This window comes from Homo sapiens, chromosome 14 (genome assembly GCF_000001405.40).
Source record: "Homo sapiens chromosome 14, GRCh38.p14 Primary Assembly".
Taxonomy (NCBI): domain Eukaryota; kingdom Metazoa; phylum Chordata; class Mammalia; order Primates; family Hominidae; genus Homo; species Homo sapiens.
The window spans coordinates 64,176,023-64,189,296 of record NC_000014.9 but is presented as its reverse complement, the minus strand read 5'-3'; the positions used below and the strand labels follow the sequence as shown (position 1 = coordinate 64,189,296).

At 42.4% G+C, this 13,274-nt stretch overlaps 1 protein-coding gene across 28 annotated transcripts in view, besides 2 other annotated features; it reads right to left on the bottom strand.

The window, feature by feature from the left end:
* Positions 1-13,274, bottom strand: part of SYNE2 (spectrin repeat containing nuclear envelope protein 2) — a 464,854-nt gene that overhangs the window by 37,153 nt on the left and 414,427 nt on the right. For all 28 annotated transcript variants that reach the window (XM_047431152.1, XM_011536576.3, XM_047431149.1 and 25 more), the window contains 3 exons: positions 11,814-11,939; positions 2,718-2,873; positions 589-747 (listed from right to left, as the gene is read on the bottom strand). In XM_047431152.1, coding sequence (XP_047287108.1) covers positions 589-747; positions 2,718-2,873; positions 11,814-11,939 — 441 coding nt within the window. The remainder of the gene's footprint in view (positions 1-588; positions 748-2,717; positions 2,874-11,813; positions 11,940-13,274) is intronic.
* Positions 2,345-3,136: an enhancer, noted in NCBI's record as "NANOG-H3K27ac hESC enhancer chr14:64652879-64653670 (GRCh37/hg19 assembly coordinates)". NCBI's record gives its function as "activates a minimal SCP1, AML or CMV promoter by ChIP-STARR-seq in primed H9 embryonic stem cells {active_cell/tissue: H9 hESC(primed)}" and the evidence as "EXISTENCE:reporter gene assay evidence [ECO:0000049][PMID:30033119]".
* Positions 6,123-6,984: an enhancer, noted in NCBI's record as "OCT4-NANOG-H3K27ac-H3K4me1 hESC enhancer chr14:64649031-64649892 (GRCh37/hg19 assembly coordinates)". NCBI's record gives its function as "activates a minimal SCP1, AML or CMV promoter by ChIP-STARR-seq in naive H9 embryonic stem cells {active_cell/tissue: H9 hESC(naive)}" and the evidence as "EXISTENCE:reporter gene assay evidence [ECO:0000049][PMID:30033119]".

The window sequence follows — 13,274 nt, the reverse complement described above, 5'->3', positions numbered from 1 at the left end:
AATGGCACCATCTCGGCTCACTGCAACCTCCACCTCCCAGGTTCAAGCAATCCTCCTGCCTCAGCCTCCCAAGTAGCTGGGATTACAGGTGCCCACCACCACACCAGGCTAATTTTTGTATTTTTAGTAGAGACGAGGTTTCACCATGTCAGCCAGGCTGGTCTTGAACTCTTGACCTCAGGTGATCCACCCGCCTTGGCCTCCCAAAGTGCTAGGATTACAGCAATGAGCCACCACGCCAGGCCAAGGGGAGCTTCTTAATAACAACTAGAGAAACCCTAACTCACTTGGGGTATCAGCTGACATGTAAGGATATGTAAGCCCCTTCCCTGGTGAAACTTTCTAATGGAGAGAAAGCAACTCTCCTCGGTACCATGCCCACTGACAATGGTCTCACACTCCCATCTCTCTGGAACCTCCTCTCTTCCAACTGTTCTCTCAAAAGGATCGAAAATAGTGAAGTCCCTTCAAATTTCTAAAATGCTACTGGAAACACCCGTAACATTGCCCCTGTTTGGGCTTAGGAGTGAGGAGGGCCGACAATTCCATGGTAGTCATAACTACATCCACCTGGGTGTCCTCCCTTACCTTCTGTAACTTTTCAATCATTTCTTCAATACTAATGTCCGCTGTCTGTAGAACTTTGTTTTCCATCTGCACCAGCCAGGCACACAACTCTTTATTTTTTTCATTGAATACAACCCATGTATTGAGTCTGTCTTCAATCTCCTGTTTACGTATGGCCACCTGCAAATGAAAATACATTTGGCAGCTGAGTATAGCCAGGAAGGAAAGCACCCCCTTCTCTCCCTCAAAAAAACTGAGTTTCATTCATTTTAATCAGTAGCTCTCCGCACTCAACCTTGTCTGGTTTTGCCTCTTCTAAACCTAGGGTTTAGCATCAACAGAAGTTCCTTACACCTGTGATAAATGTCATAAAAAATAACAAAATAAATACTGTACCTGAAATGTAGCTGATTGGAAGGATTGTTTTTATCCAATACTCGTGTGTTACTATCTGGTTATAGTAAAAATTAGAAACAGGAAAGGCTAGATGAAGATATAACCCAAATCCTTGCCCTTATAACAACGAATCAAATCCTTATACCAACATAAGGACAATGTCCTATTTAACTTAAAAACTATTAATCCAGATAGAATGTCAATCAAACATTTATAATGCAAATGGACCAGGAAAACTACAGCCGTTTAAATGTCCTTAGTGTTATGCTTCAAAACAAAGCAAAACCAAAAACAATGTACATCACTCATTTAACCCACTTGCCCGTTATGCACTGGATTTTGGATGGAAACCATAAAAGTATCATCAACAGCTGGTCTGCAGCAAGCAGGCTGACCCCAAAATACCCAATACCCCATTATGCATAAGTAACCCCTAAACTGACATCAGCTAAGGGTCCTCCTCCTTAAAGGTTTAAATTTCACTAAATATAAATTTAAATAATGCAAATCAGCCTAACTAGATGTACAAAAGTATTCCCAGGTTTTAAGAATCTTCAGAATCTTAGCGTTAAAAGGGGTGGCTAAGAGTTCTTTTGGTAAAGTTTTGACACCCCACTATATGGACCAGGAAACCAAGGGTGAATTCTCTGAGATTTTCCTGCTGTGTATAAAGAAACCTCTGCTCTTTTCGGAGGAGAAAATACTGAATGCTTATATATCCTAGCCAGCCAAACGTGTTAAAAAGGCTTGAAAAACTATCCTAGAAAAACAAGTGTTGTGTTTCCATTCCTCGGGGCATCTGTTTATCTTTTAAAAATCCTGGCATTTTGCACATTGTCATTCTGATTGATTTCATAATAGTAACAATTAGGAACATCTGGGCCCCAGTCTTCCTGTCTACCTTAACTTTCAGAACACTTTTCATATATTCTAAACATTTTCTTTTGTATAAAAATTGAAAAGTTCTAAAAGAACATTTAAAATTAGGGTACATTGTGAATATTAAATACTAAAATCAAGGAGAACGTGTCTGAATTTCAACTTTTTAAATACATCTCTTAATTCACAAAAATGAGATTAAGGAATTTATTTTCGTTGGAATTCTCTGTTCTTAAAACAAAGATCTTTAAGACTATTTGAACCCCTTAATTCAATACTGATCCTGTCACAAGCCTATACCGTGTAATACTCTATTAATACAATCCCATTCTTAATAAGTTGAAGTGATCCATTGAGACAACATAGCAGTTGATCATTTCTCTTACAGGATTTTAGAAACCAGCTACTTGAAATAAACATCAGGTTCCTGTGAATGCAGAGTACTCATATGAAATGCTCCCATGCCTGGTGGGCATGAAGTAAGACTCCTGCTGTTAGGCCCAGAAGAGACTCCCCAGTAAAGGACCTCTTCACTGGGTCCAGCTTCTGATACACTGATTAGGACTTGCCACCTACACAAGCCAGAGAGCAGTCTACACATCTGATCAGAATTGCAATTTCTGTCTCCACTTAAAGTGACTTTTTAAAAAAGCTCATTAAAAGCGTGCAAAGTTCTAGCATTTAGTGCTGGAGAAACAAAAGGGTCAAATCTGTTAAACCTGTTGCTGCCTTCTAAAGGAGCAGCGGCCGGGCCAGGGGTCCCACTGAAAAGGGCCTCCGGTTCAATGAAATTAAGCTCCTTTCTACTTTGTCTGGCCTTCAGAGACATTTCAATCCACTCCCAAACAGCCGTGCCCTGCAGTGAGCTGACTTACCCTTAAGCAGAGGTCCTCCCATTGTCTGTGCAAATGCTCTATTTGCTCCTTCAAAACCATCACATCTTCCACGAGAACGTGCCGGGTTAAGTCCGCCTTCATAGTTTGAAGTTCTTTCAAGTTCTGAGTCCAGCTAGCCAAAGACTGTTCTAGTTCCTGCATTTAATCACAAGAAGGGGGTAAAAAGCCTTCAACTCAAGCGGCTGTTGTTTCCAAACCTGTAGGCTAATCCTTTGATTAGACTCTGGGGGAGGGGAGGCCAGGAGAGAGGGAGGGACCTTCTGAATGGGAAACAGCCCAAGACGAGCGCCTGCAGTTGTGGTTGGCCAGTTCTCCACCACCTTCTTATCAAAGGAAAACTCTGTTCTACCTTTATTTTCATTTCCTCAGGTAGCTCTGATTTTGATAGAATTTATTCTATTTTAAAGTCACATAGGTCTTCATTTAGAGGAAAGTGTATTTGGAGTCTAATAATCTTTACACACACACACACATGCACACATACAATTTTTAATCCTGAAACTACATTTCAGATAAAGTGTGATTTTCCATTTAAAAAAACCCTAAGAAATGCATTGCTGCTATTGTGGCAATCACGTAACAGCAACAACTTCTGTTCACAGGGAATTATTTTTGGTTAACTTTTGAAAATAATGAGTAAGTATAACGGAAGAAAAAATAAACTTTTCTAATTGGCAAAGATTAGTTAGCAGATATTTTTCTGGCCATGGAAACATCTATCTTTTAAAATGCAGCATTGGCTGGGCTCAGTGGCTCACACCTGTAATCCCAGCACTTTGGAAGCCCAAGGTGGACGGATCACCTGAGGTCAGGAGTTCAAGACCAGCCTGGCCAACATGATGAAACCCCATCTCTACTAAAAATACAAAAATTAGCTGGGTGCGGTGGCGCGCGCCTGTAATCCTAGCTACTTGGGAGGCTGAGGCAGGAGAATTGCTTGAACCCAGGAGGCGGAGGTTGCAGTGAGACAAGATCGCACCACTGCATTCTAGCCTGGCTGACAGAGTGAGACTCCACCTCAAAAAAAAAAAAAAAAAAAGAAAAAGAAAAAGAAAAAGAAAAAAAAAAGAAGCATCTGTCAAATTGAAACCTTCTGAAATCTAGGATTTACTCAAGAGATTTACTTTCACAGCAGGGAAGGTAAAAGGAAACAACCAGAACACTCAAGAGTCTACCAGATTTTTATTGTGCTTACAATTCTTCATGACTTGGCACATTTTAAGGGTCTTCACTCCTATCTGTCAAATGAAATCTGAAATAAGATACTATGCCTTTTTAATTTTTATTTTTTTTTTAAGAGACAGGGTCTCACCCTGTTTCCCATGCTAGACTACAGTGGCATGATCATGGCTTACTGCAGCCTCGACTGACCTCTTGGGCTCAAGTGATCCTCATGCTTCAGCCTCCAGAGTAGCTGAGACTATAGGCACGCACCACCACAACTGGCTAATTTTTATATCTTTTTGTAGAGATGGAAGTCTCACCATTTTGCCCAGGCTGGTCTCAAACTCCCCAGCTCAAGTGATCCCCTTGCCTCAGCCCCCTGAAGTGTGGGGATGACAAGGGCGAGCCACCATGCCCTGCTGATACTATGCCTAAAATCAGGGATAAGTGTGAAAGGCCCTAACAATATGTTAATTCTGATTGATTTTCAGAGTTCTAAAAGCTACACTGGCATGATTTCATAACTTACCAACAAGAATTTATGTTTAATAAAATGGCCCAGAGAATTCTTTTTAAAGGTTGCATGAAGATTGAGGAATTAACACCTTTCTCAGAAGATAAATCATTAGGTATTTAACATTTTTATTACCTACTTTTGGTCTCACGATTGGTTCCAGTAGATGACAGCAGATTCCACAGTGGAACACTTTGGAAAGCTACATAACATAAAGGGGGCCACCTGCCAGCTGAGGTGTACCACTTACTGACTTGAAATTGGAGATCTGGAAACCTCTGAGCTTCAAACAGAGTTTCCCAGTCAGGTGGCAGGAAGCTCAGCCTGTCCAGTGCCCTGCTCAGAGGTGCTGGCTCGGCCACCGAGTTATGCCCGGCCAGGTTTCAATCAGTTTGGTTTGAATACTTACAATATTGACAATCGGAAAGTGTACAGTCACTGGATAAGGTTGAGACTCCTGTTTTACTCTCACTGCCCTGCCCTTTTCCCCTCTAACACTCACCATGTTCATACACATACACACACACACACACACACACACACACACACACCCCTATGCATACAGTGTGGCTCTCTGGCAGACTGGACCATTAGCTCCACACATGGCAGGGACCATGACAACACTGCTCACGGATTCAGTGCCCAGAACCTGCCATGGTGCTGCTGCACAGCAAGTTTTCAGATACCAAAATGTACGGCTGAAAGGAAAGCAATTTGGCTGTATGTCTCGAGAGCTTTAAAATGTTCATAAAGACTAAATGAAAAAAGCAGGGAGTCAAACAATATATAGAATGAGGTCTCTTGTGGAAGTTTACTAGAGCTGACGATCAGTTTGTATAAAAATGTCAACAATCATGCCTGTCTTTAAATTAAATTGCTCCCTCTCCCTCTCCCCCTCCCCTCCCCCTCCCCACCCCCTCCCTCTCCCTTCTTTCCACGTCTCCCTCTGATGCCGAGCCCCCTCTCCCTTCTTTCCACGGTCTCCCTCTGATGCTGAGCCAAAGCTGGACTGTACTGCTGCCATCTGGCCTCACTGCAACCTCCCTGCCTGATTCTCCTGCCTCAGCCTGCCGAGTGCCTGGGATTGCAGGCGCACGCCACCACGTCTGTCTGGTTTTCGTATTTTTTTGGTGGAGACGGAGTTTCGCTGTGTTGGCCAGGCTGGTCTCCAGCTCCTAACCACGAGTGATCTGCCAGCCTCGGCCTCCCGAGGTGCCGGGATTGCAGACGGAGTCTCGTTCACTCAGTGCTCAATGTTGCCCAGGCTGGAGTGCAGTGGCGTGATCTCGGCTCGCTACAACCTCCACCTCCCAGCCGCCTGCCTTGGCCTCCCAAAGTGCCGAGACTGCAGCCTCTGCCCGGCCGCCACCCTGTCTGGGAAGTGAGGAGCGTCTCTGCCTGGCCGCCCATCGTCTGGGATGTGAGGAGCCCCTCTGCCTGGCTGCCCAGTCTGGGAAGTGAGGAGCGCCTCTTCCTGGCTGCCATCCCGTCTAGGAAGTGAGGAGCATCTCTGCCCGGCCGCCCATCGTCTGAGATGTGGGGAGCGCCTCTGCCCTGCCGCCCCGTCTGGGATGGGAGGAGCGCCTCTGCCCGGCCGCCACCCTGTCTGGGAGGTGAGGGGAGTCTCTGCCCGGCCGCCCCGTCTGAGAAGTGAGGAGCCCCTCCGCCCGGCAGCTGCCACGTCCGGGAAGTGAGGAGCGTCTCTGCCCGGCAGTCGCCCCGTCCGAGAAGTGAGGAGCCCCTCCGCCCGGCAGCCGCCCCGTCCGAGAAGTGAGGAGCCCCTCCGCCCGGCAGCCGCCCCGTCCGGGAAGTGAGGAGCGTCTCCGCCCAGCAGCCGCCCCGTCCGGGAGGGAGGCGGGGGCAGCCCCCGCCTGGCCAGTCGCCCCGTCCGGGAGGGAGGTGGGGGGCGCCTCTGCCCGGCCGCCCCTTCTGGGAAGTGAGGAGCCCCTCTGCCCAGCCGTCACCCCGTCTAGGAGGTGTACCCAACAGCTCATTAAGAACGGGCCATGATGACTATGGCGGTTTTGTCAAATAGAAAAGGGGGAAATGTGGGGAAAAGATAGAGAAATCAAATTGTTGCTGTGTCTGTGTAGAAAGAAGTAGACATAGGAGACTCCATTTTGTTCTGTACTAAGAAAAATTCTGCCTTGGGATGCTGTTAATCTATGACCTTACCCCCAACCCCATGCTCTCTGAAACATGTGCTGTGTCCACTCAGGATTAAATGGATTAAGGGCGGTGCAAGATGTGCTTTGTTAAACAGATGCTTGAAGGCAGCATGCTCGTTAAGAGTCATCACCACTCCCTAATCTCAAGTACCCAGGGACACAAACACTGAGGAAGGCCGCAGGGTCCTCTGCCTAGGAAAACCAGAGACCTTTGTTCACTTGTTTATCTGCTGACCTTCCCTCCACTATTGTCCTATGACCGTGCCAAATCCCCCTCTGCGAGAAACACCCAAGAATGATCAATATAAATAAATAAACAAATAAATAAAAATAAAAATAAAAAATAAATAAATAAATTAAATTGCCCCAGACTTGCAACCAAACTGTCAAAGAGATAAGTTTCCACCATCTTCATTCAACCAGATAAATTATCTATACCACAAGAATACCTGAAAATTTCCAATTTTTTACGTAACATGGGATGTAAAATTTCAAGTTGTTTGGCTGCGAAAAGCGGTGTGTTGCACAGGATTTGACTGGACTCTGCAGTATCAGGACAGCATCTAAGCCTTGCCTGTGGACTCAATTACCAGTGGAACTGTCAAGTCCCATTTCTCTGTACTACCATTTGGGTAAAGGAGGACCAAAAAAGAACGGGTATATAAATAAAATTTGACCTGCATATGCATACTCTATCTTTGGAAGAAAATACAACAAACTTGTAACATTGATTGCTTCTGTGGAGAGGAACTGATAAGAGAAAAATTTTACTTATACAAAAATTATTTAAAAACCAAACTGTTCCAAGGACTCAATCTTTGGACAAGTGTTATGAAACACAGATGTCCATTGTAGCAATTTTCATAATAGTGAAGTTAGAATATATGTAAAACATATATGTAAGGAAATTATTCCATTCCTCAACGTGGCTGTAGTGGGAATATAATTTTTCTTTTTTATCTTTTATCTTTTTCTTTTTGCAGCTGTGCTTAGAAGGGAATATAATTTTATGAGGAGGAAAGTCAAGCTCAAATTGGTCAAGTGGCTAGCGTATTTCCCCCAGGTGAATCAGGGATGAAACACACTGACCTGGACAAGCTTTGGGTTACTTGGGATCTTTTCAGAATATGGTCACGGGTTGAACGAACTCAATGCTTTTTGCCTTTCCCTGATTACTTTCCACTGATAAATAGGATGCTGAGACCGTGAAAGCTGAAAAGATCCCACTGGAAACTGAGAAGTGTGATACTTGAGAAAAATTATGGCTGCTCAAGGGTTTACATTTCATGTTCTGCACAGGTTTCTAGACCTTATGGAAGGAAACTCTGTGTTTCAGCTGAGAGCATGACTCCAAATTATTTCCGTTGTTACCAAAGTCTTGCTCTAAGCCTAATGAGGTAGGGATGATAAAAACTTTGAAAATTTGGCATAGAAATCTTGTTAACCTAATAAAGCCACTGACTGACACATCACCACCAAATATCACATTTAACAGTGAAATGTTAGAATCATTTTCTTCTAAAATCAACAATGGAAGACTCAGCTATTAATACTTCTGCTTAACAATGTTCTGAAGGTATTGACCCGTGTAGGAAAAATAGGAAAAAAAAAAGTATATTAAAAAGAAGAAACAAACAAAAATAACCTTGTCATTATTGACAGATGATGATGGTCTCATAGACACCCAAAAAAATACATAAACGAATTATTGGAATTAACATAAGAGTTTAACAAGATGGTTAAACATAAATATGCAAAGACCAATTACATTTCTAGGCATCAGCAATAATCAGTTAGGAAATATAATTAGAAAAAGGCAGTATTTTCAATAGCTTCAAAAATATTGCACCAAGAAATAAATCTAACAAAAGATATATCTTTTGTGATTAGGAAAATTATAACAAGAATAAGCCAGGTGTGGTGGCTCAGGCCTGTAATCCCAGCACTTTGGGAGGCCAAAGCAGGTGGATCACCTGAGGTTGGGAGTTAGAGACCAGCCTGGCCAACATGGTGAAACCCCGTCTCTACTAAAAATACAAAAATTAGCTGGGCGTGGTGGCGGGTGCCTATAATCCCAGCTACTTGGGAGGCTGAGGCAGGGGAATCCCTTGAACCCGGAGGCAGAGGTTTCAGTGAGCCAAGATCGTGCCACTGCACGCCAGCCTGGGTGACAAGAACGAAGCTCCATCTCAAAAAAAAAAAAAAAAGTTATAAACCATTAGTGAAAACAACTAAATAATATGACCAAAGGGAAATATATACCACAGTCATGAGCATGAGCAGGAATACTAAAAATAATTATCCAAGTTAATCTAAAATTCAATGCAATTCAATTAAAACTCTTATCAGAACTTTTCATGGTTTAACAAGCTGTTCCTCAAAGTTACGGAAGATCAAAGACCCAGGGACATCCAAAGTAATGTGAGAGAACAAGGTGTGGGTATACATCACACCTGAAATAAAGATGTGTTACAATAAAGTGCAGTAATCAAGACAGTTTGATATTAAAGCTGACATACACAGACCAGTGGAACAGAGAACTGAGAAACAAATCCTGCGTTTATGGAAATTTGGTATTTGACATTAGACAATAAATAGGCACCAAGACAACTGGCTATCCATACGAATAAAATTAGAAAATGGATCTCTGCCTTAAAACGTATGCAAAAATCAATTCCTCAATGAATAAAGATGTGAATGTGAAAATCAAAAACTAAAAACTTTTTGAAGAGAATGTAAGCACGTATTTTATGACTTTAGTATGAAGATTTTGCAAAGGAAGCGGAAAATACAAATCATATAGGAAAATACTGACCAATTCATCCACATTAACAAAATATCTTTTGTTCAGCCAGCAATACCAAGGAAAACGCAGAAAAACAGGCTCTCAGATGGGAAAAGACATTTGCAATGTATATACTCAGTAGAAGAGGAATATTTAGAATAAATAAGCAGCTCCTTCAACTCAATAAGAAAAAGACAAATAGCCCAATGGAAAAAAATCAGTAAAAGGCACAAATAGGCAATTCACAAAAGGGCAAATATGAAAAAAATGTGCAACTGACTAATAAACTATAAAGAGATACTATCTCACAGCTGCTGGATTAGCAAAAGTTTAAAAAAAAATCTGACAATACCAAGTGACTACAGAAGGGATATATAAATTGTTGTATATTCTTATAATGCATACTATACAGCAGTGAGAATGAATGTGCATTAGGTGCCAACATCTATGACTCCAAATCACAATGAGGGAAAAAAGTTACATTGTAGGCCAGGCGCTGTGGCTCACGCCTGTAATCCCAGCACTTTGGGAGGCCGAGGCAGGTGGATCGCTTGAGGCCCCAGGAGTTCAAGACCAGCCTGGCCAACGTGGCGAAACACCATCTCTACTAAAAATACAAAAAAATTAGCCAGGCCTGATGGCACATGCCTGTAATCCCAGCTACTTGGGAGGCTGAGGCACGAGAATTGCTGGAACCCGAATGGTGGAGGTTACAGTGAGCCAAGATTGCGCCACTGTATTCCAGCCTGGGTGACAGAAGGAGACTCTGTCTTAAAAAAAGAAAAAAAAATTACATTATATATAGTACTGCTTATATAAAGTTTTAAAATTTATGTATTTTGTTTACTTTTTAGAGACAGTCTTACTCTGTCATCTAGGGTGGAGCATAGTGGTGCATTCATGAGTCACTGTATCCTCGACCTACTGGGCTCAAAGGATCCTCCCACCTCAGCCTCCCCAGTGGCTAGGATCACAGTCAAGTGCCACCACATCCAGCTAATTAAAAAAAATTTTTTGCTGTACATATGGGGATCTCACTTTGTTGCTCAGGCTACTTTCAAACTGCTGGACTCAAGGGATCCTCCCGCTGCAGCCTCCCAAAGTGCTGGGATTATAGTTGTGAGCCACCATGCCTAGCCATATAACGTTTAAAAACAGAAAGCAATTCTACATCTCATTGACAGCAGGCTGGGCGCCTGCTGTCACTTTGGGAGGCCAAGGCAGGAGAATTGCTTGAGCCCAGGAGTTGGAGACCAGTCTGGGCAACATGGCAAAACCCTGTCTCTACAAAAAATAGAAAAATTAGCCGGGCATGGCGGTGCATGCCTGTACTCTGGGCTACTCGGGGGGGCTGAGGTAGGAGGATCGCTTGAGCTTGGAAGTTGGAGGTTGTAGTGAGCTGAGACTGTGCCACTGCACTCTAGCCTGGAAGACAGAGCCAGACCCTGTCTCTTAAAAACAAACGAACAAACAACACTGACACCTACAAACACATGTATTAAAATTATTAGGACATGTGTAAGAATGATGAACACCAAATCCAGGGTTACTGACACCTCTAAGGAGAAGTTAGATCATACAGGACACTTGAACTGTGTGTATACTTTTTAATTTTTTAGCTAGGTGATGGTGTCATGGCAGTTTGTCATATTATTTGTTATGCCTTTTAGCACATCAGACATTTTTACAACAAAGAAAAAAGATGTAGGGAGAAAGACACTAATTTCTGGCCTAATTTGAAGTATAACACTATTCATTTCTTCCTAATTTTTTCAATTTGATCCCCGAAAGTCACTGAAGGAAGAAAAAAATTAAAATACCACTCCAACAGTCTCTCAATGTCTTTTAAACATCAAAGCTGCAGACAGAAAAGAGATGCAGGGAGTTGCTGACCTGGGAATTTTCCTGGCCCCAATTCCTATCCATAAGTTTGCCTTGTCTCCAGCAAAGGCCTAAAATATCCAGGAAGTTTTGCTAGTGTGGTATTCATTAGGAAGAATATATAGTTTGGATGGTTTTATAAAAATGCTATACTGGAGCAAACTCCAACCTACTGGCTTTCAAAAATGAATTCTTTAGTCATATTTTACTCTTGTTTCAAAGAAGAGGACATTTGATAAGGGAACAGCTTTTACAGGAATCTCAGAGGCCACATCTTATATTACAGAGGAGGAGCAGACAGAAAGAAGACCTGAAGGAGAAAACCCCTAAGATCCTAAGAAGTGAGTTTTTGCAAAAGTCTTTCTCGTCTTCAAACAACAATCGTAAAAAGCATCAATTCTAATTCCTTAAGAGACGAGCATGTTATGTTAGACAGATCGGGAAAATATTTTCTGATTGAAAATGAAAACTCAGTTTCAATACAGAAAGAGGCAAAGAAGCACTTCAAAGTACTCAGAAAACAGCTAAGTGATTATCTTGGCCACTTGTTTGGATTTCAATACCTTAATCAGCTCTTTTTCGTTATGGAGGTCCTCGTGAAGCTCTGGAAGAGGATCTTCACTTTGTGCCTTTAAAACTTGCAGCCTGCTTTTCAACTCCTTGATTTTCTTTTCACACTGGTCCCAGGTCTATTTGAAAACAAGATTAAAACTGGTAAGTATTTTGCTCTTTAGAATGAATTGTAGAAATAGAATAGCTCATTTAATCCACATAATCTTTCTATTAAGTTTGTTTTTAATAAATCACACAGACACCCAGTTCCCTGTCTTAAGCAGACTATGGTCTCCAAAAGCAGAAGGAACACCAATATGACTCGACCCTCCTTGCAGCTTTACCTGTGGCTCATTTCAACCACCAGGCTAGGCTTTGCTTGAAAATAGTTCTTCCGGGCTGGGCATGGTGGCTCAAGCCTGTAATCCCAGCACTTTGGGAGGCTGAGGCGGGTGGATCACCTGAGGTCAGGAGTTTGAGACCAGCCTGGCCAACATGGCGAAACTCCGTCTCCACTAAAAATACAAAAATTAGCTGGGTGTGGTGGTATGTGCCTGTAATCCCAGCTACTTGGGAGGCTGAGACAGGAGAATTGCTTGAACCTGGGAGGTGGAGGCTGCAGTGAGCCAAGATTGCACCACTGCACTCCAGCCTGGGTGACAGAGCAAGACTCCATCTTAAAATAAATAAATAAATAAATAAATAAATAAATAAAAATAAAAAAGTTCTTCCTCTCTCCCCAATCCCTCTCATCTAACCAATGTGATTTCTACTTTAATTTTGGAAAAGTTCACACCTAAAAGGCTACTGTACGGAGTAACTGTTAGCATTGACAGTCTTTGGTATATGCTATGACAGCACCACAGAACACAAGCACTCAGCCACCTTCCTTGTCTTCTTTTCCACCGTCACCCCTCTCCTCTGCTGGCTGTCTTCTCCTTTCTACAGCCTGGCTTTAGTGACCTTTTCACATTCAACCTTCACTTTCCACTTCTCACCACTGTGCTGACTACCACCTTCTGCTTAAAGCACTTTCCTGTTTACAAAGCATTTTCAACTTTATTAACTCATTGTAATTATAATAACCTTAGGAGATAGACAAGGAAAGTATTATCATATTTAAAACAAGTATTATCATATTTAAAATGGGAAAACTAAGGCTCAGAGAAAAATGACTAGCCCGTGGATCTGGGGTTAAAAGCCAAGTCAAGGGTCAACCATCTCTTTTCTTCAAATTTTAACTGTTGAACAAAATAGGTGCCTGCATTTTCAACTATAGGGTATTTATATTCGATTCATTAGGATAAACTTCTTTCCTGAAGTTACTAAAACTATACAAACCTACAATGAAACACTATTATTCAGTACAGCTGATACCTAAACATACTTGGGTTGGCCTCAGTCTATGGTAACCTCTCACTGAAGGGAGGCCACTTGTGTAGCAATATTAACTATCTGGAACTCAACTCAAA